Genomic DNA, 26828 nt, shown 5'->3' on the forward strand with positions numbered 1-26828 from the left:
GCTGCTGGGAGGACTCCTGCCGTGCGACCCCGGCGCCCCTCGCGCGTTTTGTCTGGGCCAGGCCGCGCAGACGTGCTCCCTACTTCTTACCGCGCTGGACCGCCAGGGCCGCGCCCGGAGTACTGGCCTGAGTGGAGGCCCAAGCCGGGGACCTGGCCGGCGCACGGGCGGCCTCCCGGGAGCTCCCCATGCTCCTCTCACCCACTGGCCGCGGCGGCTGCGCTGCCATGGCGACCGCGCGCGCACTTACAGTCCGCCTGCAGCTGTGAGGCGGCTACACGAGCCTCGGCGCCAGCCTGCTTCGAGTCCCGCTGGCTGTGCCTGCCCGGGCCCTGAGGCCTCACTGCTAAGGCAGTGACCGCCTACTCTGTGGAGGTCCTTTGTCACCCTGCCCTGGTTAAAGGCAGCCTGAGGGAGGGCGTCCTGGCTCCTTTGCAGGGAGGAGTTCCCGAGGTTTGAGGGGCTCCGCTGCTGAGCTAGGGCTGGGGCTACAAAGAAGATTATGACAAAGCCCGCTCCTACAAAGTGTGCACCGGCCTGCCGGGCCAGCGAAGAAGCAGAGTAGCATCAGCACATGATAAAGGCGTTGGGCTTTGGGAGCATAAAGGGTTTTGTGCTCCCAAAGGGCGGGGCCACCAGGGAGGGCTTCCTGAAGGAGGTGACATCTGGATGGTCCGAAGGAGGCTGCCAGAGGACAGAATGCTTGGTGCGTTCTGGGCATGCGCAGGTACTTGAATGTACTCAGATCAGTACAGACAGCGGGGAGGCGGGCAGGGCCAGATCCACATGTGTTACTAAAAGGCCAGGGGTTCCGTCTAGATCCAGCTGCTCCTGGCACAGAATGCCAATCACTGAAACAATGAGAATTGCCAGGGAGGAAGGCTTTAATCTGGTGCTGCAGCCGAGGAGATCAGTCTCAAATCTGTCTCCCCAACCAACTAGAATCAAGGGTTTACATAGCAAGAAAGAAATGTGACTACTTGCAGGAAATCAGGAATTAGGGAGGGGTAAGGAAGAGGAGTTGGTCAACAGGAATCAGGTGGTCGTTTAGGGAATCATGGTGGGTGAGGGATCTGGTGTCTCATTGTCCAGATGTGACGATCTGGTAAGTTTCATTTCCTTGATACTGAAATGGTAATAGTTTCCTTATCCCCCTTGCAGGGCATGCGATGGTGAGGCAGGAAAATAGGGTCTGGAGGTAGGGAACATAAGGCCGATTCGCACTTCGGCTATAACAGGAAATATCCTCTCCATAGGGTGTACACCATAAACGACTTTGTAACCTTACTTCATCCTCTTCATTTACACAGGGCGTACTCTAAGTAACCAATGGAATCCTCTAAGGGATATTTAAACTCCCAAAAAATTTGTAACGGGGTCTTTGAGCCCCTGTGCTCGGCCCACTCCCACACTGTGGAGTATACTTTCATTTTCAGTAAATCCCTTCATTCCTTCCTTGCTTTGTGCGTTTTGTCCAATTCTTTGTTCAAGACGCCAAGAACCTGGACACCTTCTACCGGTAACAATGGGGGTGTGGCTTGCTTCTTTGGTGCTCCGCTGCTCAAACCTCTAGGGGGAGCATGCAGACGGGCAGGTTGTGGGGCACGTGGGCTCCGAACTCACCGCAGCGTCTAGGGGTGAATGCTTACAGCTGCTGAAGCAAAGCCCCAGTAGGCGTGTGTTACAGGGTGCTCTTTCAGTTTTGCTGTGTATAGGCGGCTTGCGTCAATCAGCTCAGTTAGACCCTCTGTCTTACCGCAAGGACAGAGGGCTTTCTGTTTCCTGGGGTTCTGGCCTTGGTGTACCGGAAAAATCGGATCACACAGTGGGCTTGGAGAATGAGTGCAAGGTTTTATTGATTGGTGGAAGTGGCTCTCAACAGATGGATGGGGAGCCAGAAAGGGAATGGAGTGGAAAGGTGGTTTTCCCCTGGAGTCCGGCCGCTCAGCAGCCAGACTCTCCACTGACTGCCCTGGCCAAATTCCCCTCGGTCTACACATCGTGCTGCTTGTCGGTGACCTGGCAGCGTCCGCTGGTGCCTGTCGGTGTGCTCTTCTGCTCCTCTGTTCCTCTCAATGTCCAGCCACCTGTGTGCTCCTCCGCCGGTGTGTTCCTCTCAACATCCAGCCGCTTGTGTCTGTGCCTACTAGGGTCTTGGGGTGTTTGTTTGTTTGTTTGTTTTTTGAGACAGAGTCTCGCTCTGTGGTCCAGGCTGAAGTGCAGTGGCCTGATCTTGGCTCACTGCAACCTCTGCCTCCGAGCTTCAAGCAATTCTCCCACCTCAGCCTCCAGAATAGCCGGGATTACAGGCGCCCCCCACTACGCCCAGCTAATTTTGTATTTTTAGTAGAGACAGGGTTTCACCATGTTGGCCAGGCTGGTCTCAAACTCCTGACCTCAAGTGATCTACCTGCCTCTGCCGCCCAAAGTGCTGGGATTACAGGCGTGAGGCACTATGCCTGGCCCTTTAATCCATTTTGATTTGATTTTTGTATGTGGCAAGAGATAGGGGTGTAGTTTCATTCTTCTGCATATGGATATCCAGTTTTCCCAGAACCGTTATTGAAGAAACTATCTTTTCCCCAATATATGTTACTGATACCTTTGTCAAAAACGAGTTCACTGTAGATGATGGATTTATATCTGGGTTCTCTATTCTGTTCCATTGGTCTATGTATCTATTTTTATGCCAGTACCATGCTAGTTTGGCTACTTTAGCTCTGCAATATAATTTTAATTTAGGTAATGTGATTCCTCCAGTTTTGTTCTTTTTGCTCAGGTTAGCTTTGGCTATGCTGGATCTTTTGTGGTTTCATACAAATTTTAGGATTATTTTTTCTATTTCTGTGAAGAAGGTCTTTGGTATTTTGATAGGAATTGTATATAATCTGTAAATTGCTTTGGATAAAATGGACATTTTAACAATAATTATTATTCTAATCCAAGAACATAAAATATCTTTCCTTTTTTTGTGTGTGTGTCCTCTTTAATTTCTTACTTCAATGTTTTATAGTTTTCATTGTAGAGATCTTTTACTTCTTTGGTTGAGTTTGTTCTTAGGTATTTTATTTTATTTGTAGCTACTGTAAATGGGATTATTTTCTTACTTTTTCTGATTGTTTGCTGTTGGTATATAAAAATGCTACTGAGTTTTATATGTTGATTTTGTATCCTACAACTTTATTGAATTTGTTTATCCATTCTAATAATTTTTTTTGGTGGAGTCTTAAGGATTTTCCAAATATAAGATTATATCATCTGCAAACAAGGATAATTTGGGTTCTTCTTTTCCAGTTTGGATGCTCTTTATATCTTTCTCTTCTCTAATTGCTCTAGCTAAGACTTCCAGTGCTACACTGAATAATAGTGGTTAAAGTGGGCATCCTTATATTGTTCCAGATCTTAGAGAAAAGGTTTTCAGTATTTCCTATTCAGTATGATACTACCTACGGGCCTGTCAAATATGGTTTTTATCGTGTTGAGGTATCTTCCATCTACTCCCAGTTTATTGAGGGCTTTTATCATGAAGTGATGTTGAATTTTATCACATGCTTTTTCAGCATCAATTAAAATGATCATATGGTTTTTGTCCTTCATTCTGTTGATAGGTTGTATCACATTGATTGATTTGTGTATGTTGAGCCATCCTTGCATTCCTAAGATGAATGCCACTTGGTCATGATGAATGATTTTTTTAATGTGTTGTTGAATTCAGTTTGCTAGCATTTTCGTTGAGGATCTTCGCTGAGAAGATCCATCAGGGACATTGCCCTACAGTTTTCTGTTTTTTGGTTTGCTTGTTTGTTTGTTTTGGTGTGTCTTTGGTTTTGGTGTCAGGGTAATACTGGCCTCATAGAACGAATTTGGAAGTAGTTTTTCCTCCTCTATTTTTCAGAACAGCTTGAGTAGGATTGGTATTAGTTCTTCTTTAAATGTTTGATAAAAATCAGCATTGAAGCCATTGGGTCCCAGGTTTTTCTTTGCTAGGAGACTTTTTATTATGACTTTGATCTTTTTACTTGCTATTGGTCTATTGAGGTTTCAGATTTCTTCATGGTTCAATCTTGGTAAATGGTATATATCTAGGAATTTATCCATTTCTTCTAGGTTTCCCAATGTATTAACATATAGTTGATCCTTGGAATTTCTACTGTATCAGTTGTAATATCTCCTTTTTCATCTCTGATTTTATTTATTGGATCTTCTCTCTTTTTCTCTTAATCTGGCTAAAAGTTTATTGATTTTATTCATCTTTTCAAAAAACCCAACTTTTCATTTTATTAATTTTTTTGCATTGTTCTTTATTTTAATTTCATTTATTTCTGCTCTGATTTTTGTGATTTCTTTTCTTCTACTTTTTTTTTTTTTTTTGACAGAGTTTTGCTCTGTTGCCCAGGATGGAGTACAGTGGCATGATCTCAGCTCACTGCAACCTCTGCCTCCTGGGTTCAAGTGATTCTTTTGCCTCAGCCTCCTGAGTAGCTGGGATTACAGGCACACACCACAATGCTTGGCTAATTTTTATATTTTTAGTAGAGACAGGGTTTCACCATGTTGGCCAAGCTGGTCTTGAACTCCCAACCTCAGGTGATCCACTTGCCTCAGCCTCCCAAAGTGCTGGGATTACAGGCGTGAGCTATCACTCCCAGCCTTCTACTAACTTTGAGTTTGGTTTTTTACTTTTCTAGTTCTTTAAGATGCATCATTACATTGTTTATTTGAAGTTTTCTGCTTTTTTGATGTAGGCACTTATTGCTATAAACATGCCTGTTAGTACTGCTTTCACTGTATCCCATAGGTTTTGTTATGTTGTGTTTCCATTTTAATTTGTTTCAATAAATTTTTTAATTTTCTTAATTTTTTCATTGACCCACTGGTCATTCAGGAGCATGTTGTTTAATTTCCACGTGTTTGTACAATTCCCAAATTTCCTCTTGTTATTGCTTTCTAGTTTTATTCCATTGTGCTCAGAGAAGATACTTAATATGATTTTGATATTTTTGAAAATTTTTAAGACTTGTTTTGTGACCTAAAATATGTCTATCCTTGAGAAGATCCATGTGCTGAGGAAAAGAATGTGTATTCTGCAGCTGTTGGATGAAATGTTCTGTAAATATCTAGGTACATTTGGTCTATAGTGCAGATTAAGTCCAATGCTGCTTTGTTGGTTTTCTGTCTTGATCTCTCCAATGCTGAAAGTATCCAATGCTGAAATCAACAGCCATTATTGTACTGGAGTCTATTTCTTTCTTTATCTCTAGTAATATTTGCTTTACATAACTAGGTGATCCAGTGTTGGGTGCATGTATATTTATGATCGTTATATCCTCTTGCTGAATGAACCCCTTTATCATTATATAATGACCTTTTTTGTCTTTTTTTATAGCTTTTGTCTCGAAATCTATTTTGTCTGATATATGTATAGCTACTCCTGCTCTTTTTTGTTTTCCATTTGCATAGAATATCTTTTCCCATTCCTTTATTTTCAGCTTATGTGTGTCTTTATAGGTGAAATGTATTTCTTGTGGGCCACAGATCGATCATTGGGTCTTGTTTTTTAAAATCCATTTAGCACCTCAAGAGCAATTCCTCAGAGCCCAGCACAGCATCAAGATTTGCCCAGGAATTGCAGTCCTTGTGACCTAGACTGCCTTTCAAGTTTATTTAGAACCCCCAGAGCACTTTATCCCACAGTGGTGGGGCTAGCCAGAACTCACGTTCCACCCACTGGCATGGACAATTCCCCTCTGGCTAGGGCTGGTCTAAATGCTCCCTCCATGAGCACCACCTGAATTCTACCCGATGTTGCTTTCCACTGTGACAGGCAGCACTGAAGTCCATTCCAAAGCCCCACAGTCACTTTCCTCTCCCTCCCCGAAGCACACTTATTCTCTCTCTGTGCCACATGGCTGCTCTGGGGGTTGGAGGAGGGATGGTTCTGACTATCCAGGACTGTCTTTCCTACCTTCTTCAGTGCCTCTTTCTTTGCTATGATGTTAAAACCAGGGACTGTGATTGCAAACCTGATCTTTCGTTCTTATGAAGATGATTTCTTGTGTGAATAGTTGTTCAATTTGGTGTTCCTGTTGGAGGGGATGATTGCTAGAGGGTTCTATTCAGCCATCTTGCTCTGCCTCCAGGAATTTTTTTTTTAACAAGATGTATTTGTACAGAATTCTCTCAGCTATGACTCCCTGTTGAAGAATTTTCTTTCTGGTATAGGGAAGGCATGTTTCACATGGAAGGTTTTATTTCCTGTTTTCAAGGCGAGAAAGGGAAGATTAGAATACACTTATTGCATCTGCTATTTTTCAAGTGTCTTTAGCTTAAAGTAATCCTCATACCAAAGTGGCATATTTTGGAGTGGCATATTCTGCCACTCTTTATTACCATTACATGAATATCCAGTCTGAAGTCAATTAAGGTTACTTTTAGTTTGTTTGTGATTCACCAGTTTTTAGAAGGAGAAGTTCTGCTGAGTGAAGTTTTAAGCAAAATCTTGAAATTCTTTTAACTAGAAATGGGTTTTTATGCTAACAGAGAGAGTCACACACCATATTAACCTCAGGAACCTAGTCTTACCTATCTAGTTTGTGCATAGACAGACTTGGAAACAAAAGCATCAACACTCACTGTAAATTTGAGAGGGCTGATTAGTTTCTTAAATGATTTTCTCAGGGGTTAGAGTTACACAAAGAAAGCTAATTGTTAAACTATCCAAATCTTGGCTCCTTCAAATGAAGATGTAACAATTATTTAATTTAAAAATCACCCGACCATAATATTGGATTGTAATAATAAGTAAATTTGATCACATTTGTGTAGCAATCCCTAGAGAAAAAATGGCCAATAAAGACCAAATCTTCCCCTTTCTCAATTACTGTGGCAGAATTACTGGCAAAGCTATTGCAAATCTGGGTTTTACAATCTCCTTTTATTAAATCCACAAATGAACGTGAAATATGGGTGTATATATATAGCTTTCAGAGGGCCGTCAAATTGATGGGGTATATGATTAAGGTGAGATAACATACACACACAATCAGATATTCTAAGCAGGTCTTATTATGGAGAAAGATGAATGCTAAGAGAAATAAGTTATTTCATGTGTCTGGAAGCCCAGACACCCTCATATTAATTCTAATCCACATAAATTTCTCCCAGTTGACTTTGTTGTAATGCTGCACAATAAAATCAAGTCTAAAATTTCACACCCGAGAAGAATGATTTTAATAAGTGCCAGGTTTCCTGTAAACGAGTGATGTTAAAAATCTAGGTGAGGTTGTGTCCAGTTCTCTGCTCTTACTCCCACTTCCTACCATGTTCTGAGAAGAGCCCTTTTAGTTATATAATTTCTTTATCTGGGAAACAGGGCAAATAATGATGCCTCCTGCATAGGATTATTGTGAAGATTAATTAGGTTACTTTAAGTAAAGCCTGGAGTACATAATCAGTGTTCTTGGTGTTCCCTATTTTTATTTGTATTATCACCTCAGTCTACATACTGTGGAGAATTTTCAGAAATTTGCAAGTAGGAAACTGGAGATTTTATCTTACAGGACTGAACAGTATTAGATAAATTTAATCTGCCTGATGACTAAGTGACAAAAATGCTGGAGACAGCTAGTTTTAAACAAAATCAGTGTTAAATCTTTCCTTTTCTTTAAATAACATTGTCTCAGAGCTGGTTTTGAGTCCAGGCATAAAGCAACAAGCACCTGAAGCACATAGTGTTGTGTTTTGAGGAATAGCAGTATTATGTATGGGGCTAGAAATGTATCCCCTTCATCTAGGCACTGGGCCTCTGTGATGGATGAGAGGCCCAGATACTCCAGCAGGACTGCCTTCATTCTAAAAAGAAGTTCAAAGACGCTACCGCCAACCTTGCCACTATCATGTCATGTTGTTCTCTGCCTTTCCCCATAGACTCTGTGTGTGTGTGTGTGTGTGTGTGTGTGTGTGTGTGTGTGTGTACTAAAGACTTACTCTTCTGAAATACAATATTCACATCTTGCATTTTATAAGATTTATAAGCCTAGTAGTGTAAGTCTGCTGATTTTGTTTTCACTAAAGATTATCTTTAGCTCCTTTGCATTTTCATATAAATTTTAGAATCAGCTTGTCAACTTCTACCAAAAAAGAAAAAAAAAAGTTTGCTAAAATTTTGACTAACATTGCATAAAAACTATAGATCCAATTAGGGGAATATTGACATCTTTTTTTTTTTTTTTTTTTGAGACGGAGTCTCGCTCTGTCGCCCAGGCTGGAGTGCAGTGGCGCGATCTCGGCTTACTGCAAGCTCCGCCCCCCGGGTTCACGACATCTTAGCATTACTGAGAATTCTAATCCATGGACATGATTTGTCCCTCCATTTATCAGAGACTTTAATTTGTTTCTGGGTTGGGCTTTAGTTCATTCAATTAACCGCAGTTCCAAATGTCTCACTTAGACAGAGTTAAGCTCCTTCCAGCCAGGCTTCGGTACTTAAGACCATGAAACTTCAGGACCTGTCTCTGTTCTTTAGTCCAGCCTGCAATTTTCCCTGTGGCCGTTTAACCAGCCAAAGACTAATGGGAAAAACTAGTTAGTGGGGAGAACTGACTTTGCATTTGGGGCTACTCCAGATTCTAATCCACTATGCCAGCCCACACATGACTGTTAAAAGTTTGGCAGGTTTATTCTTCTCCCAGAAGTTCCTTTGCCTGTGCCTATTAAAGGGTTGTTTCTCTGCCTGACAGTCCTCAAACTTGCAAATGCCATCAGGCATGAGAGGGTCTACTCACGGGTCTCTAGTTATTTAGAAAAGGTTGGTGCATCTCTAGAATATAGTGTTTTTGTTGTTGTTTTTGTTTTTGTTTTAGCTTTCTTTGTATCTTCGACTCTCTGGTGGTTTTAAGGAAAAATACTGTATTTTAAAAGATGAGGTTTTTCCCTAGTGTTTTCTCAGTGTTATGGTAAGAGCAAGGATCTTTTGCAACCTTCTACATCCTACTGGAAACATTCAGAATAGGCATTTTTTTTTAACTGAAATTAGGCTGGGCACGGCGGCTCATGCCTGTAATTCCAGCATTTTGGGAGGCCAAGGCGGGTGGACCTGAGGTCGGGAGTTTGAGACCAGCCTGGCCAACATGGTGAAACCCCGTCTCTACTAAAATTACAAAAAAATTTAGCTGGGCATGGTGGTGGGTGCCTGTAATCCCAGCTACTCGGGAGGCTGAAGCAGGAGAATCGAATCACTTGAGCCCAGGAGGCGGAGGTTGTAGTAAGCCGAGATCACACCATTGCACTCCAGCCTGGGCAACAAAAGCGAAACTCCGTCTCAAAAATAAATAAATAAATAAATAAAACTGAAGTTAATCTCTTTTTTTTTTTCATGTGAGTCTACGTGTTAGGGGAAGGAGTCTACACTTTAATTCTTCTAACATGAAATGCAAAAACCTAAATTTTATGTTCTGTCATAATTTCAAGCACTAAGTTTAATCAACTAGGTTTTAATTTTATTTTTCTTAAGGATAGCAAGTCTGGTGGCAGGTAAATTCTATTTTTTTTCATCCTTTTCACAATATTTCAGATTTTGAATATTTGAGCTTTTCTTCACAATAATGTCAAAAGACATAAAATCAGTAGAACATTCACCTAAAATTCATCAGAGAAATGATCCACAGCACGTCAATGATAGAACATTTTTCATTGATGCCTCTAATCAGAGCTTGACTGCCATTCCTTTGGAGATCTTCACATTCACAGAATTAGAAGAAGTGCATTTGGAGAATAACCAGATTGAAGAAATTCCCCAGGAGATTCAGCGTTTAAAGAACATCAGGGTCCTCTACCTGGATAAGAACAACCTGAGGAGCCTGTGCCCGGCGCTGGGGCTGCTGAGCAGCCTGGAGAGCCTGGACCTGAGCTACAACCCCATCTTCTCCTCCTCCCTTGTCGTTGTCAGCTTCCTCCACGCCCTGCGCGAGCTCCGGCTCTACCAGACCGACCTGAAGGAAATTCCCGTCGTCATCTTTAAAAACCTCCACCATCTCGAGCTGCTCGGACTGACCGGAAACCACCTGAAATGTCTGCCCAAGGAAATAGTGAACCAGACCAAGCTGAGGGAGATCTACCTGAAGCGAAACCAGTTTGAAGTTTTCCCCCAGGAGCTCTGTGTTCTCTACACCCTGGAAATCATTGACCTGGACGAGAACAAAATAGGTGCCATCCCAGAAGAGATCGGACACCTGACGGGGCTGCAGAAGTTCTATATGGCTTCTAACAACCTTCCCGTTCTGCCCGCGTCCTTGTGCCAGTGTAGCCAACTGTCGGTGCTCGATTTATCCCACAACCTCCTCCACTCCATCCCGAAGAGCTTCGCCGAGCTCAGGAAGATGACGGAAATCGGGCTGAGCGGGAACCGCCTGGAGAAGGTGCCACGCCTCATTTGCAGGTGGACCTCGCTGCACCTGCTCTACCTGGGAAACACCGGCCTGCACAGGCTGCGGGGCTCCTTCAGGTGCCTGGTCAACTTGCGCTTCCTGGACCTAAGCCAGAACCATCTGCACCACTGCCCGCTGCAGATCTGTGCACTGAAGAACCTTGAAGTCCTGGGACTGGATGACAATAAAATAGGACAGGTACGGATTCCTTTTCTGGCTGTCACTATGCTCTCATCCAGGGTCCTTCCTGCCCTAAGTTGGTTCTGTATCTAAACAGCAAATTTGAACTGACTTTATGGGCGAAAATCCAAGATTACTAAATATCCAACAAGGTGATACTTTGTATTACTCTCTTTTTCCCTAACAGCAGCAGTAATCATAATAGTAGCTAATGTTTATTTAGAGGGTGTATGTGCCAGTCACTGAGCTAAGTGTTTACATGGATCATCTCATTTACCTCACAACGACTGTGTCCTCAATGGTATATGAAGGAAGTGAGGGGCAGGGAGCTTAACTAACATATCCAAGGTTACACAGCCTGTAAGTGCTGCAGCCGCGATTCCAGCCCACAGCTGCCAGGCTCCAGGGTCTACATTCTTTTTTTTTTTTTTTTCTCTTCCCCGAGACGGAGTCTAGCTCTATTGCACAGGCTGGAGTGCAGTGGTGTGATCTCGGCTCACTGCAACGTCCACCTCCCGGGTTCAAGCGGTTCTCCTGCCTCAGCCTTTCGAATAGCTGGGATTACAGGCACCTGCCATCATGCCCAGCTAATTTTTGTATTTTTAGTAGAGACGGGGTTTCACGGTGTTGTCCAGGCTGGTCTCGAACTCCTGACCTTGTGTTCCGCCCGCCTCGGCCTCCCAAAGTGCTGGGATTACAAGCGTGAGCCACCGCGCACGGCCCAGGGTCTATATTCTTAACAAAGACAATCTCCTGACAGAGTTTCCGTTAACAGCAGATGTTTCTAATACACAACAGCCTTAGAAGCCTAAAGTTCCATCCATAGGAAACTGCAAAACCAGACTTGTCCCAACAGAAACTGTCCCGTGTGTGCAGGGTGGCATATTCAAAAATGGTCATTTAGCATTGTTGATAATCATGAAATTATGGGAGACAATCTAAATGTCAGTAGGGGAGTGGGCAAATAAACTTCAATATATTCATAAAACGAAGTTATATAGTAATTTAAGTGAACTGGTACTGTATTGCCAATATGGATAGATCTCAGTATTGTGATGTTTATTGAAAAGAAAACCTAAGGTTCCGCATCAAACTGCAGAACCTTATGATACCATTTATAAATTTTGAAATCACACAAAACTATATATATACACACATATATGTATATACATACACACATATACACACAACACATATTTTATGGATATTTTTATATATAATGAAAATATAAAATATTGACTGGAAGAAAACTAAATTCATGAAGGTGGCTGCCTCTGGGAAGAGAGAAGGAAGTCAACAAAATAGGGAAGCAGCTGGATGCAGTGGCTCACTCCTCTAATCCCAGCAGTTTAGGGGGCCAAGGAGGGAGGATCACTAGAGGCCAGAAGTTCAAGACCATGCTGGGCAATGTAGGAATGTGTCTTTAAAAACCAAGAAAGCAAATGGGGAAGAGATCATAAGGGGACTGAACTTAATTGCAGTATTTCATTTTGTTTATTAAAAGATTTGGGCAGTTGGGCACGCGTGGGTTTATGTTTCTTTATTATTTTATAATATTCTATTTATTTCAATTTTAATTTTATTTATTTATCTATTTATTTTTGAGATGGAGTCTCACTCACTCTGTCACCCAGGCTGGAGTGCAGTGGTGCTATCTTGGCTCACTGCAACCTCTGCCTCCTGGGTTCAAGCGATTCTCCTGCCTCAGCCTCCCAAGTAGTTGGGACTACAGGTGTGCGCCATCACACCCGGCTAATTTTTGTATTTTTAATAGAGACGGGGTTTCACCATGTTGGCCAGGCTGGTCTCAAACTCCTGGCTTCAAGTGATCCACCCGTTTTGGCCTCACAAAGTGCTGGGATTACAGGTGTAAGCCACCATGGCTGGCCTATAATATTTGATTTAAAAAGAAAAAAATAGCTGTTAAGAGCAAAAGACAACTGTAGAGGGAGTAAAAAGGGGAATTTGGAAATCAACAACTATAATCAAATAATAGGTCTGCTTTACCTGGCCATGGACACCAGTCTCATGTGTTCCCTATAAATTATAAAAGTCCTGGGCCTTACGGATTTATTTTTAAAAATCTTTTTTTTTTTTTTTTTGAGATGAGCTCTCGCTCTGTTGCCCAGGCTGGAGTACAATGGCGCCATCTCAGCTCACTGCAACCTCCACCTCCCAGGTTCAAGCGATTCTCCTTCCTCAGCCTCCCGAGTAGCTGGGACTATAGGTGCCTGCCACCACGCCCGGCTAATTTATGTATTTTTAGTAGAGGCAGGGTTTCACCATATTGGCCAGGCTGGTCTCAAACTCCTGACCTCATGATCTGCCCACCTCAGCCTCCCAAAGTGCTGGGATTACAGGCGTGAGCCACTGTGCCCGGCTGCTAAAAAAATCTTTTATTTGATTTTTTATTTCTAGAACTTTTTTCCCCAAATTGCTATGGGGTTTTAAAGCTGCCTTTCAGGAAGTAAACATTTTGATGGTAACTTGTAGATTTAGGTCGAGATTCTAGGACTTAATCTCCACTGATGTAGCAACTCACCTTGGAGGATTTTTGAGGTTCCGTGAGAGCCCGGCCCTGAACTATTCCACTGCTGATGTAAGAAATTCCTTTTAGTGGACTAAGTCAGTCATTCTGCAGTTGGAGTGAAAGACTTAAAATATAAAGTACATGTGGGAGGGATAACACATTATACTGAGCCATGAATAATACCTAATCCTTTTCTGAGAGAAATTTTAAGAAATCAAAGGAGCAAATCACACACAGACTGCTTGTTAACAAAAATAAGCTTCATCCAATACCAAGTTTTAGCACAAGTCAAACTGCACTGAAATGTAGACATGTTAAATATTATTGTATTGAACATGACAATCTCTGTGTACCAGTGCTTTTTCCTCTTCAGTTATTCTGATGGGTTTTGTGTGTGTGTGTGCATTTGTCCTCCCTTCTCAATTTCCTCTTATGCTAATACCACCTTCCAATGCATTTCTCTCCTCAATGAAACATGGCCTTTAAGCCAGCTCATTATCTCTCCCTCCCCAAAGACTCAACTCATGGGTTACTAGCTCTTAAAGCCTAACCAGTAGCTTCTACTTGCCTGTGTGCATGCAAAAAATATCTGATTTTCAATGTGTACCTAGATGGATTTTATTTGTAGAGTATACTTCTATTAAAGGAGAAAAGCAGGCCACGTGCGGTGACTCACGCCTGTAATCACAACACTTTGGGAGGATGAGGCGAGTGGATCAACTGAGGTCAGGAGTTTGAGACCAGCCTGGCCAACGTGGCGAAACCCCATCTCTACTAAAAATACAAAAATTAGCCGGGCATGGTAGTGGGCACCTGTAATCCCAGCTACTCGGGAGGTTGAGGCAGGAGAATCGCTTGAACCCAGGAGGCAGAGGTTGCAATGAGCCAAGATTGTACCATTGCCGTCCAGCCGAGGCAAGAAGAGTGAAACTCCGCCTCAAAAAAAAAAAAAGAAAAAGAAAAAGGAAAAAACCAAAACAATGTACCAGATCCCAAAATGGCTATATGTCAGTTACAGTGTCATCAGTAATTGTCCTCATCTAATGCTCTACAGATTTTCTATACATCTAGATTTCTTCTCATTATACTTTACTATGACTATGATGAAACTAACTACTGGATCTTAAATACTCCTAAAAAAAATTTTTGAACATTCAATGTGCTTTGAAAAAGAAAAGCTAAGCTTTTATGAGTTAAGTGAACAGCAATAAGAATGAAATTTCTAGGTTATAATAAAATGGTTAGATTGAAAAATCTTTTTTCATTGTTTTGGACTGCACAGAATGCAGGCATTTTGTATTGAAGACATCTAAGTGCTTGATGAAGAATTTTGAAATAGCCAAAGAGGAAAGCTTAAACATCAGTTTCTCCAAAGATTGACTTCATCTAATTAAAATAAATAGGTAAATAAATAAAACTGGAAAACTGTTACAGCATTTTTAGGAAAATGAGTCCTTACTCTACACAAAAAAGAGAAAAATGCATTATGGAAGATTCCAAGTATGTGAAACTTTTACAGATAGGTTGTCCTCAGTGAACTTTCTTTTTCTCCAACTGTAAGTGACCCATTCACCAATTACCTGTCTATTCCACCCATCCATAGAGAGGTGGGGGTGGGAGTGGCTCAGCTGAGCTCTAGCCAGAATGAAAGTAGGGTGGCTGACTAGGGAATGGATGGGAAGAATGCCCATGGGCTCAAGCAGGGAACTGTGGGGAAGGATTTCCCAGTTAGGAATTAAGCCAGATAAAGGAACATATGAGTTAAGGAGCTGTTGAGCTATATAGCTGGGATTTTTTTCTACGAGAAAATAAGGCATCTCTGTAACACAGTCAATAGGGTGATTGTCACATATTTTAAGAATGAGATTTTTTCGCCGGGTGCGGTGGCTCATGCCTGTAATCTCAGCACTTTGGGAGGCCTAGGCGGGCGGACCACGAGGTCAGGAGATCGAGACCATCCTGGCTGACATGGTGAAACCCCGTCTCTACTAAAAATACAAAAAATTAGCCGGGCGTGGTGGTGGGCGCCTGTAGTCCCAGCTACTCGGGAGGCTGAGGCAGGAGAATGGCGTGAACCCGGGAAGCGGAGCTTGCAGTGAGCCGAGATCGCGCCACTGCACTCCAGCCTGGGCGGCAGAGCGAGACTCCGTCTCAAAAAAAAAAAAAAAAAAAAAAAAGAGATTTTTTTCCCATGTGGTCTCCCATGGTCCAGAAAGAAACCGATAGACGGACATAATGGTGAAGCTGATTTTGGCTGTACTAAAGTAGGAAATCTGATGATTAGAAGTAGCCATAGAAGATAATGAGCTTTTCTTCACAGGAGGTGGTGTTTAGATAAAACTGGATGGCTCGCTATAAAAAGTATGCAAGCACTGTATTAGAAGGTTGAAATAGAGAACCTTCTTAAGGCGTTCCAGCCCTGAAAGTGTGGCACTCTGTGAAATGCCGACCCAGTTCCCACACAGGTTACACAAGCCTGGGTATTCACTGAAAAGCAGAACATGACACGATAGGATCATAATGGAGTTCACTGAACACTGATTAGAAATGGTGTGAATATATGTTTGCCTCCAACTGAGATTTCAACTGAAGTTTCAAAATTATTAAAGCCTTTTAGGATGAAGAGTCATATCACTAAATTTATTAGTTCCAATAACTGAATTTATAATGAATATTATTATTGCAATATTACACATAACTTTAGTATTTTTCTTTCTATAGTGTCAAACAGTTGCCACACTACAGTCCATAAATGGCAAGAACATAGGTTAAAAATTGCTCCAATTTTTTTTTTTTTGAGACAGATTCTCGCTCTGTCGCCCAGGCTGGAGTGCAGTGGCACAATCTCGGCTCACTGCAACCTCTGCCTCCCACATTCCAGAGATTCCCCTGCCTCAGCCTCCCGAGTAGCTGGGATTATAGGCACCCGCTACCACACCCAGCTAATTTTTATATTTTTTAGTAGAGACAAGGTTTCGCCATGTTGGCCAGGCTGGTCTTGAACTCCTGACCTCAGGTGATCCACTGGCCTTGGCCTCCCAAAGTGCTGGGATTAAAGGCATAAACCACCGCGCCCAGCCACAAAAAATTGCTCCAGTTTAAAGTGGTGCATAAAAGTGAAATCAGAGACTTTAGATCTACAAGTATAAATACTGTAATGCAGATATGTGCACAAATTTTTCACTAGTAGGAGAGGCTAAGTTACTCCACTTGTTTAGCAGTCTGCCTCAAAACCAGAAGCCCAATTTATCTCTGCTGTTAAAAATAATCTTGACCTGAAACTTATCTTTTTGGAATACTTCTAGTTACCTTCAGAATTGGGCTCACTTTCAAAACTGAAGATACTTGGACTAACAGGAAATGAGTTCCTTTCCTTTCCGGAGGAAGTCCTTTCTTTAGCGTCTTTAGAGAAATTATACATTGGGCAAGACCAGGGATTCAAACTTACCTATGTGCCAGAACACATTAGGAAACTGCAGGTAAGCCTCCCCAAATGAGCAGGCTAAGAAGCACCTGTCACTGCCTCTTAAATTGGCTGAAACTGAGAAAATATGAGGTCTCCACAGGCTGGATGTAGAATCATCCATACTAGATTTCCAGCTTCAGACAAGCAATCATTTTTACATTTTGAGGTTTCCACTGTCCGTGAACAACTCTTCAACATTTCATTGTGATTGCTGTTGGATATGTCCTGCCATACTTCTTTCCACTGTGTGATTTGGTGTGTTTCATTTGCAGAAATTGAGTCATAACTCTTTCCATTTAATTTCCACTTTTTATAAGTAGCCCCCTGAAAACTGGACTATTTTGAAGTTAAAGAGTATCATACAAGTGACATGCTGGGAGCCTACATTTTGGTGCCCAGGATTTCCTGTAAGGGGAAGTGTGACCTCTCTCCCTGATTGGAAAAGGGAAATCATGTTGCACCAGCTTCCTGGATCTGCAGGGCTGTGAGGAATACTTGCAAAGCAACAGGATAACTTCATTCAAAGTAGCCATAGTAGGGTGTCTTCATATATTCATCCTTTAAAGAACTGTTTTTTTTTTTTCATGTTCCTGTTGCTGCACTTTTTTTTTTGACAGAGTTTCGCTCTTGTTGCCCAGGCTGGAGTGCAATGGCTCACTGCAACCTCCACCTCCCGGGTTCAAGCGATTCTCCTGCCTCAGCCTCCCAAATAGCTGGGATTATAGGCGCCCACCACCACACCTGGCTAATTTTGTATTTTTAGTAAAGACGGGGTTTTGCCATGTTGGCCAGGCTGGTCTCGAACTCCTGACCTCAGGTGATCCACCTGCCTCGGCCTCCCAAAGTGCCGGGATTATAGGCATAAACCACCGTGTCTGACCTGCTGCACTCTTAATGATGATAAAGTAGGCGTGGGCCACCACATAACCCCAGTCATGCAATGCCATGCACAGCATAGGTAGTTCTCACTATGACACAGGGTGTCTCTTCCTAATTCTCCATTCCTTTGCCCTGTGTTCATAGAACACCTTTCATCAGCTTTTCCTTTGTACCTGTCATGCCACAATCTTAGGGTGAAGTACAAACATTAGATTTTTGCCCAGTGAAGTTGAAAATAGTTATTTTGAATACATTCAAATCCATTCCCTGTGCATTTTGGCTACTTTCACTGAGGCAATATTGGGTTGATAGTTGAGGCAATTATCATTCTGTAGCAACTGCCACAGACAATTAGCTATTAAAAAAGGAGTTAATGATAAATGTAGTTAAATTATTCAAATTATTTTTCCATAAAGTTCTGGTGAAACAAATAAGCACTAGATGTCTGTAGTCTCTTTTCCCTGCATAAATGGAAACTAAGTCTAATGGATTTACTCAAAAATAATTTTGGGTCTTGATGATGGTCCTTTAGACATGCTTTTTCCCTTAACTCAATGCGTAATTTCCCCACTGAAAGTGAAAAAAAAAAAAAAAAAAAAAAAAAAAAAAAATGCATGAGCACCCACAGGTGATTCTGGTTATTATAATTAATTAATCAAGGTATATTATTATGGTACACTCATGTTATTTCAGAGTCTCAAAGAGCTATATATAGAGAACAATCATCTGGAGTACCTGCCCGTATCCTTGGGGTCAATGCCTAACCTAGAAGTTCTTGATTGCCGGCACAATTTGCTTAAGCAACTTCCAGATGCCATTTGCCAAGCACAAGGTGAGGAAACTTAGTAGATTCACAGCCTAGCAGAGTTTGTGGCCAGCATTTCCTATGGCAAATGGCTTCCTTGCTTTGCTAAAGACCTATCTCAGTGTTCAGAGAACTGAGTCTATCCCATTACTTCCTTGCAGGGCTCACTTAGCGACATGGGGGAGGCCAGGTGTCCTGATTAGTATAGCTAAGAGTCTTGCAAAGGCAGTTAAGTCATTTATTAAAATGGAAAGGTAAATAGCGACTGCTAAGAAAATTAGCATTTACCCATACATTTATTACACTACCAACAATAATTTACTGTACACTTACTACATGCCAGAATTTGGAGTTGGGATCCTGCAGTAAATTTCATCTAGGTCACGGAGTCACTTGAGTAAAAGAAAAAGTATTGGCCCAGAGTGGTGAAATTAGCAGGAGACTTTCTTGGAGCTACATAATTGACCTGGAAAACTATATATGATTCCTACTTAAATAGCCAAACATTTTCCACTACACTAAGCCATTCTTTGTCTGTACATTCATCCATCCACTTAATATGCTTTTGCTGAGCACCCACTGGGACCAGATTTTAAATGTTTCTTTTTTTTTTTCTGAATCCTAGGCTTATGCACATGTTTTCAAACTATGGCTATTCTTTTTTTTTTTTTTTTTTTTTTTTTTTTTTAAGACAGAGTCTCGCTCTGTCGCTCAGGCTGGAGTGCAGTGGCGTGATCTCGGCTCCCTGCAAACTCTGCCTCCCGGGTTCACGCTATTCTTCTGCCTCAGCCTCCTGAGTAGCTGGAACTACAGGCGCCCGCCACCACGCCCGGCTAATTTTTTTTTTTTTTTTTTTTTTTTTTTTTTTTTTTTTTTTTTTAGTAGAGACGGGGTTTCACTGTGTTAGCCAGGATGGTCTTGATCTCCTGACCTCGTGATCTGCCCACCTTGGCCTCCCAAAGTGCTGGAATTACAGGCGTGAGCCACCGTGCCTGGCCCAAACTATAGTTATTCTTTAATGAAAAAAGAATGGAGAGAGTGGAAGCTGATGCCTACTCATAAGGCATTCAAAAACTGGGGGCAAGGCCAGGCGCGGTGCTCACGCCTGTAATCTCATCACTTTGGGACGCCGAGGAGGGCAGATCACCTGAGGTTAGGAGTTCAAACCAGCCTGGCCAACATGGTGAAAACCCATCTCTACTAAAAATACAAAATTAGCTGAGTGTGATGGCACGTGCCTGTAATCCCAGCTACTTGGGAGGCTGAGGCAGGAGAATTGCTTGAATCCGGGAGGCAGAGGTTGCAGTGAGCTGAGATTGCACCACTGCACTCTAGCCTGTTAACAGGGCAAGACTCCGTTTTAATAAAAGTTAAAAAATTTAAAAAAAAAAAGAAAAAAAAAATGGAGACAAGGGGTTGTATGCAGTAATCCTTAGTAATGCTCCTGACCATAAATTTTTATCCTGTCCTTGGTCCCTGGAGGAGTGAAATATTCTCAAAATTTTTCAGTGTTTTCTATTTTTCTGTCTCTAATATTTATGGACACTGGCTTCAACAACTTTGAATTGTTATAAAGAAGTTGTAGGCCAGGCGCGGTGGCTCACGCCTGTAATTCCAGCACTTTGGGAGGCCAAGGCAGGCAGATCATGAGGTCAGGAGTTCGAAACCAGCCTAGCCAATACAGTGAAACCCCATCTCTACTAAAAATACAAAAATTAGCTGGGCTTGGTGGTGGGTGCCTGTAATCCCAGCTACTCAGGAGAATGAGGCAGGAGAATCACTTGAACCCGGGAGGCGGAGGCTGCACTGAACCGAGATGGCGCCACTGCACTCCAGCCTCGGTGACAGAGCTAGACTCTGTCTCAAAAAAAAAAAAAAAATAGCCAAGTGTGGTGGCGTGCACCTGAAATCCCAGCTACTTGGGAGGCTGAGGCACTTGAATCGCTTCAACCTGGGAGGCAGAGGTTGTAGTGAGCTCAGATCATGCCACTGTACTCCAGCCTGGGCAACAAAGTGAGACTCTGTCTCAAAAAAAAAAAAAAAAAAAAAAATCAATAGTCTGCTGACCTTAGGAACAGCAGGGTCTGAGAGTGATTTTTCCCAGTGGGCTGTCAGTTTCAGCTAAAAACTGTTGCTCTAAACAAACAAAACATTTGGAATATCTGGAGACTGAATTCTGTTCTCTTCATTTTGAGAAGGAGCAAACATAGAGCTAGAACTTTTATTAGATGGTAGAAAAAGTTTTGTCGGGTCTTGTGCATCCTTCCTCTCATTCCCTTTGCAAATGCAGAATTGGATCCCTCACCTATGTGGACAGGATTAGGTGACAAGTTAATATTGTTTCTTCTAAGATTGAACCACCATTACGAAAAAATCTTTTCAGCTTTGAAAGAATTACGGCTGGAGGACAACTTGCTCACCCATCTTCCAGAGAATTTGGATTCCCTAGTGAATCTTAAGGTTCTGACACTGATGGACAATCCCATGGAAGAACCCCCAAAAGAAGTGTGTGCTGAAGGCAATGAGGCCATATGGAAATACCTCAAGGAAAACAGAAACAGGAATATAATGGCAACAAAGGTAAAATCAGCCCAGATTCTTGATAACAGTTGCTTTAGAGGGAGTCTAATGGTAAACACAGTACAGATTATCCTACGGAGCAACTCCTTACACCCTTGTCCTGCTTCTGAAAAGAGAAGTTACTTGGTAACTTTTATGTCCCCAGGGCTAAGTAAGAAGATTTTTAAATGTCAGCCCTAGCATTTTTGTCTTTTATGTCCCTTATTTCTTTGTCCAATAAGAAGCCAACAAATAGGCAAAGGAAACCAAAACTTCAACATTTCCAACAATCTAAAATTCGTGGACTATTTCATTGGAATGAAAAAAGTTTGTATTAACAAAAGTAGTAAAATAAGTTTAGAAAATTAGAAATGAAAGCGTTTATAGATGAGAGGCTGAGCCCAGGGTTCTGAGCTGCCATTAATAAGGATCAAAAGGCTGAGATCCTTGTAATTCTGCTCTAGCCCTTTGAGCCCATGGAGATGTAGGACAGGTCTGGAATGTGTCCACTTCAGCCAGTGTTCTTTATTCTCCAACTGGCCCAAGTCCCCATCATCTCACAGCCGGATAACTACATAAGCCCTCTGACTACTGTCCCTGCTTGCATGCCAGCCCCCCACAACATACCTTCTGCTCAGCAGTTGCACTGATGCTCCACTGAAATTGGCAATCCTCCATTACACTCAGAGTAAGAGTCAAGTCTTCAGTCCGTAAAACCCCCTCTCAATAGCCCTCAACCCTATCAGACCTAATGTCCTCCCTTTTATGATAAATCTTTTGTAATACCTCTTTTACTATTCCAAAATAAATTCAGAGATAATAAAAACATACAAAAGGACATAATTTTAATCAAAATAACGCCTGAGTTACAATTTAAAGGAGAAAGAAAAGTAATTTATATACAAATATATATTTCAGGCCTGGCGCGGTGGCTCTCGCCTGTAATCCCAGCACTTTGGGAGGCTGAGGCGGGTGGATCACTTGAGGTCAGGAGTTCGAGATCAGCCTGACCAACATGGTGAAACCCTGTCTCTACTAAAAATACAAAAATTAGCTGGGCATGGTGGTGCGTGCCTGTAATCCCAGCTACTCTGGAGGCTGAGGCAGGAGAATCGCTTGAACCCAGGAGGCGGGGGTTACAGTGAGCCTAGATTGTGCCACTGCACTCCAGCCTGGGCAACAGCTGTCTCCAAAAATAAATGAATAAATTATTTCAGTGTGTATATGCTCAGGATGGATTACACTTGAAAGAATGAAAGTTGTGGTTCTTAATTGAATACTTCCTAAAAGCATTTTGAAAAACTGTGCACCCTCTTGCACGTTCTTAAAATGATATTTAACATTGTTGGCCACAAGTTTAAATCATTGCAAAGGATGTAATTTCCAGTGAATTTTAAATGTTGACATTTTAAAATAGAGCTGTTAGATCAATATTTTAAATGTATCCAGTGGAAACTGAATATCATTATGATTTGTCAACACCAATTTACAAATACTCAAACAAGTTATTATTTTATAGGCAGAATTTTTATATCATATTCCTTTTCTTCTTAAACATGTACTTCCATTCTACTTTCCCCTCAAAATTGATCCTAAGGTTTTATGTATACACATATAAGTCTTTCATAGATTGCTCTTTTGTACTTCTAGGTGACAAAAATATTTATATAAATTAAATTTTAAAAATTTAAAAATGTATATACATTACAACTATTAGTATAAAATCACCTAAAACAACATAAAATTTCTTACAAATTTTAATAATTATTAGACATATAGGATTTTTTAGAACAGTGTACCAAAATGAGAGGGTTTTTTTAGCATAGTTTATATATTCATGCATAAATATTGATGATTATTAGAATAACACAGGGTTGATTATAGATTCTACTCCTGTTTCTCATTTTACAGATGAAAGCCTTGAGAAACCTTGTTCACGTAGATGAGTTAAAGAGAACAGAAGAAGCTTTTTTTGCCTGTAATGTTTTATTTTAAAAAAACAATGATTCATGCATCTCTGAGCTTCTTCCAGATTTATATCCCCCAAATCGATAGCAGGTCTTAGCTGACATGTCAACTAGGCTTCCCTTATTTTTCTTGAAGGTAGAATTAGAAACCACCTGTCTTGCAAAAGGATTGGTTAACCAGTCCCTAGAGTCATTCATTTTCTCATCAACACTTGTACTTTGAATTGTCTTTTTCTGTGTGTGTGTGTGTGTGTGTGTGTGTGTGTCCTAATGATTTTTGGAGTCCAGGGCAATGCACCATAGTAAGATTCAGGTGGGTGCAAGCTGTGCCCTTCCTCTGTGGAGCATCACAGGGGCAACTGGGATGGGGGATCTGCAGTTATGTTCTCGGGATGATTTTAGGAAGGGGTACATATGGAAGCTGGAGCTCAGGAAATGGACTGTCTTCAACCTATCCATGCCTGCACACTGTTGGAAAGGCTTTGTAGACCAGGGTATAGGCCACACAATTGAAGACTGCTTAACCTTAAGTCAACAAAAAGCCCCATAAATTTCCAAAATGCCTCTAGAGAGCAGTGCTGTTCCCTGGATCCCGATTGGTCTGCTGTTTTCACTCCCCATCTCCTCTTTCCTACTCTCACTGGACTTCAGTCACAAGCAGATCTGGTGTTCCTCCAAGGACCAAGCATGTTCCTGGCTCAGGGCCTTAACACTGGCTCTTCCTGTGCCCAGAGATGCTTTCCCCAGATATGAGCAAGATTCTGGCCCTCACTTCATTCCATCTCTGCTTAAACATTCTCTTATCAGAGAGCCCTTCCTTGATCCACCTTATATAAAACAGCATACCCCCAGCCACCTCTTTCATTTGTTCATTCATTCAACAAACATTTATTGAGCTTCTACTATGCACCAGACACTGTTCTAAGCATTGAGATACATCAGTGAACAAAACAAATATTTATGTCCTCACAGTACTTAAAATCTAGTAGGAGGGAAATAAAAGCATGAAATAGAAAACATAAAATGAAATACTATGTTAGAGAGTGCTACTGTTTAAAAAAAAAAAAAAGTTAGCCTAAGGGGAACTGAAATTGCCAGTAGTGTGTGGAGGTGGAGAAGTGGTTGATTTAAATAAGATTGTCAGAGTAGGCCTCACTGAAAAAATGGCAGTCTTAGCTTAGGCTGCCACAACAAAATACCATAGAACAGGCGGCTTAAACAATGGAAATGTATTTTCTCACAGTTCTGGAGGCTGGAAGTCTAAGGTCAGAGTATCAGCATGATTGGAGTCTGGTGAAGGCCCTCTTCCTGGCCTGTAGAAGCTGACTTCTCCCTGTGTCTTCATATAACAGAAAGAGAGAGAGAGAGAGAGAGAGATTGCACTAGAGAGTGCTAACTCTCTGATATCTCTCCTTATAAGGCCACTAATCTCATCATGAGGACCCTGCTGTTATGACCTCATATAAATCTAATCATCTCCTCAAAGCCCCTTCTCCAAATTCATTCACACTGGGGATTAGGACTTCAGCATATGAATTTGGGGCAACACAGTTCAGTCCGTAGCAATGACAATCAAGCAAATCCTTGAAGCAGCGGAGGGGTGAGCCATCTGAATACTGAGAAGAGTTCCAGGCAAAGAAAGCAGCGAATATACAGGCCCTGAGTCACAACTGTGCCTATGTGTCTGAGCAGGGAGGAGGCCCGCATGGCTGGAGCAGAGTGAGCCAGGGAAAAGGGAGTTAAGAGGTTAGAGGGGTCAGGATTGGGGAGGCAGATCAGAGAGGGCCTTGTAAGCCATATAAGGACTTTGGCTTCTATTCAGAGAGAAATGGGGAGCCACTGGACAAGTCTGCTGCTAGAGGAAGGGTGTTGCTGGGTAGGTAGGAGGGAATAGGATCCAGGGAACAAGTGAGGGCTGGCTTTAGGCAGGAGCACAGACAGCCCAGTAAGGAGCAGGAAGGCAGGGCGTAGGCACTCAGATCCCCTCACCATGTGCGGTCACTCTCCATAGCACTCATCACCGTCTGACAAATTGAACATTCATGTGTTTATTTTGTACTGTCTCTTCCTCACTGGAATGTGAGCTCCATAAAGTTGAGACAGTTATTTCTCTGCTGTTGCCCAAAAGTCTAGAACAGGCACTGGCACATAAAAACAATAAATGCATTTTTTAAAAAATTTGTCTGAATGCCTAGCCAATTGAGAAAGATAGAAAATAAAATTTAGAGTTCTAATCACATCCCATTCTCTCCACGTCTTCAAGACCATGTATCAGAATAAAGAGATTTAACAATTTCCAGTTCATTGTGATACCAGCCGATGCTGAATTTGGGTTTATCTTGTTTTCAGATTCAGGCATGGTGGCGTGGAACAATGGTACAGAGAGGATTTGGGAAATTCGGTGAACTACTAAAACCACAAAAGAAAGGAAAGACCTCTCCAAAAGATAAGAAAGGAAAGAAGGATGTAAAAGGAAAACCAGGAAAGGGAAAAAAGAAATAATCCTGTAAATTGATAAATTGGGGTAATGGACCTTGATAGATTAAGAAGACAAAATATCTAGGAATTAGATGCCTACTACATTAAAATTATTCATAAAATTACACTTATGTGTAAAAATAAATGATTCTTACTTTTACTGAAATATTTATGGATAAAATGATATAACACCTTGGAATTGCTTCTAAATAATATGGGAGGGGGAGGGGAAAGTGGGTAGGAATACAAGTGAAACAAGATTGGCCGTACATTGATAACTAGAATAAGGTGATGAGTACGCAGGGGTTCTTTATACTATTTGCCTACTTTTATTTATTTATTTATTTTAAGACAGGATCTCACTCTGTTGCCCAGGCTGGCATGCAGTGGTGCAATATTGGGTCACTGCAACCTCCATTTCCCAGGTTCCAACAATTCTCATGCCTCAGCCTCCCGAGTAGCTAGGACTACAGGTGCATGCCACCATGCCTGGCTAACTTTTATATTTTTTTTGTAGAGATGGGGTTTCACCATGTTGGCCAGGCTGGTCTCGAACTCCTGACCTCAAGTGATCTGCCCGCCTTGGCCTCCCAAAGTGCTGGGATTACATGCGTGAGCCACTGCACCCAGCCAGCCTACTTTTAAAACTTTTACTGTGAAATAATTATAGATTCACAGGAAGTTCCAAAGAAATGTTCAGGTAGGTCCAGGCACTACTCAGCCTCCCTCAACGCTGACCTCTTTTATAACTATAGCACAATAACAAAACCAGAAGATTGACATTGGTACAATCAACAGTGCACTCATTTGTGTGTGTGTGTTTGTGTAATCCTATGCAATTTTGTCACATATAGTTTTGTGCAGCCACCATCACAGTCAAGACATAGAATTGTTCCATTGCCACAAGTTTCCCTTGTGCTATTCCTCTGTAGCCATACCTACTGCCTACTCCTCTCCCAATGCCTAACTTGTTCTCCAGATCCATAATTGTGTCATTTTAGGAATGTCACATAAATGGAAACACACAGTTTGTAACTGGGATTGGCTTTTTTATTCAGCCTAATCCACCTGAAGTCTATCGAACTGGGGGCATGTATCAGTGGTTTGTTCCTTTCTGTTGCTGAGGAGTATTCCATAGTCCCACAGTTTGTTTAACCTTTCACTCATTGTTTCTAGTTTTTTTGCTATTGTGAACAAAGCTGCTATGAACATTCATGCATAGGTTTTTGCATATGCATAGATACTCATGGAATGCATGGGAATGCTCATGATATTCATGGTATTCTTTTATATCATGTAACCCAAAATATCCCCTTTACATCATTCAAAACCTCCTCATCCTGAAAACCTTTTAATTTGGAGTAGTGTTGATTTTACATTTGCATGTCTTTCAGGCAGTGATTGCAATACTAATTATTAGTGTAGTAGAAGAAAGCAAAACATAATTTGACTAGAGCTTGTCAGAATAGAAATGTGCAGACAAACATCTCTGCCATGCAATGACTTTCATGCTCTAGCAAAAGAAAATCAAAAATTTCAA

The 26828-nt window shown here is 41.8% G+C and overlaps 2 protein-coding genes across 14 annotated transcripts in view, besides 4 other annotated features; one reads left to right on the forward strand and one right to left on the reverse strand.

The window, feature by feature from the left end:
- Window positions 1-259: part of a silencer, noted in NCBI's record as "silent region_14876", that runs on past the window's edge. NCBI's record gives its function as "represses an Ori minimal core promoter by ATAC-STARR-seq in GM12878 lymphoblastoid cells {active_cell/tissue: GM12878}" and the evidence as "EXISTENCE:reporter gene assay evidence [ECO:0000049][PMID:35858748]".
- LRRC34 (leucine rich repeat containing 34) overlaps window positions 1-585 on the reverse strand; it is a 19902-nt gene extending 19317 nt beyond the window's left edge. For 6 of the 9 annotated variants that reach the window (XM_006713508.5, XM_011512442.3, NM_153353.5 and 3 more), the window contains exon 1: window positions 91-585. In XM_006713508.5, coding sequence (XP_006713571.1) covers window positions 91-229 — 139 coding nt within the window. In that variant the 5' untranslated portion in view covers window positions 230-585. The remainder of the gene's footprint in view (window positions 1-90) is intronic. The other 3 variants (NM_001370608.1, NM_001363888.2, NM_001370609.1) reach the window with 1 other exon arrangement.
- LRRIQ4 (leucine rich repeats and IQ motif containing 4) lies at window positions 551-25454 on the forward strand. Of its 5 annotated transcripts, none has more exons than NM_001080460.3 (6): window positions 551-727; window positions 9572-10622; window positions 16440-16613; window positions 18173-18311; window positions 20668-20864; window positions 25160-25454. In NM_001080460.3, the coding sequence occupies exons 2-6, from the start codon at window positions 9603-9605 to the stop codon at window positions 25310-25312; spliced, it is 1683 nt and encodes a 560-aa protein (NP_001073929.1). In that variant the 5' UTR covers window positions 551-727; window positions 9572-9602; the 3' UTR covers window positions 25313-25454. The 5 variants fall into 5 exon arrangements, 4 of the variants coding, with proteins under 4 accessions (NP_001073929.1, XP_011511051.1, XP_011511050.1 ...); XM_011512748.2 differs by having other exon boundaries at window positions 628-706; XM_006713613.5 differs by having other exon boundaries at window positions 726-1105.
- Window positions 1750-1849: an enhancer, noted in NCBI's record as "active region_20786". NCBI's record gives its function as "activates an Ori minimal core promoter by ATAC-STARR-seq in GM12878 lymphoblastoid cells {active_cell/tissue: GM12878}" and the evidence as "EXISTENCE:reporter gene assay evidence [ECO:0000049][PMID:35858748]".
- Window positions 2140-2189: an enhancer, noted in NCBI's record as "active region_20787". NCBI's record gives its function as "activates an Ori minimal core promoter by ATAC-STARR-seq in GM12878 lymphoblastoid cells {active_cell/tissue: GM12878}" and the evidence as "EXISTENCE:reporter gene assay evidence [ECO:0000049][PMID:35858748]".
- Window positions 23977-24056: an enhancer, noted in NCBI's record as "active region_20788". NCBI's record gives its function as "activates an Ori minimal core promoter by ATAC-STARR-seq in GM12878 lymphoblastoid cells {active_cell/tissue: GM12878}" and the evidence as "EXISTENCE:reporter gene assay evidence [ECO:0000049][PMID:35858748]".
- Window positions 25455-26828: the final 1374 nt, after the last annotated feature.

Source organism: Homo sapiens, chromosome 3 (assembly GCF_000001405.40).
Source record: "Homo sapiens chromosome 3, GRCh38.p14 Primary Assembly".
Taxonomy (NCBI): Eukaryota; Metazoa; Chordata; class Mammalia; order Primates; family Hominidae; genus Homo; species Homo sapiens.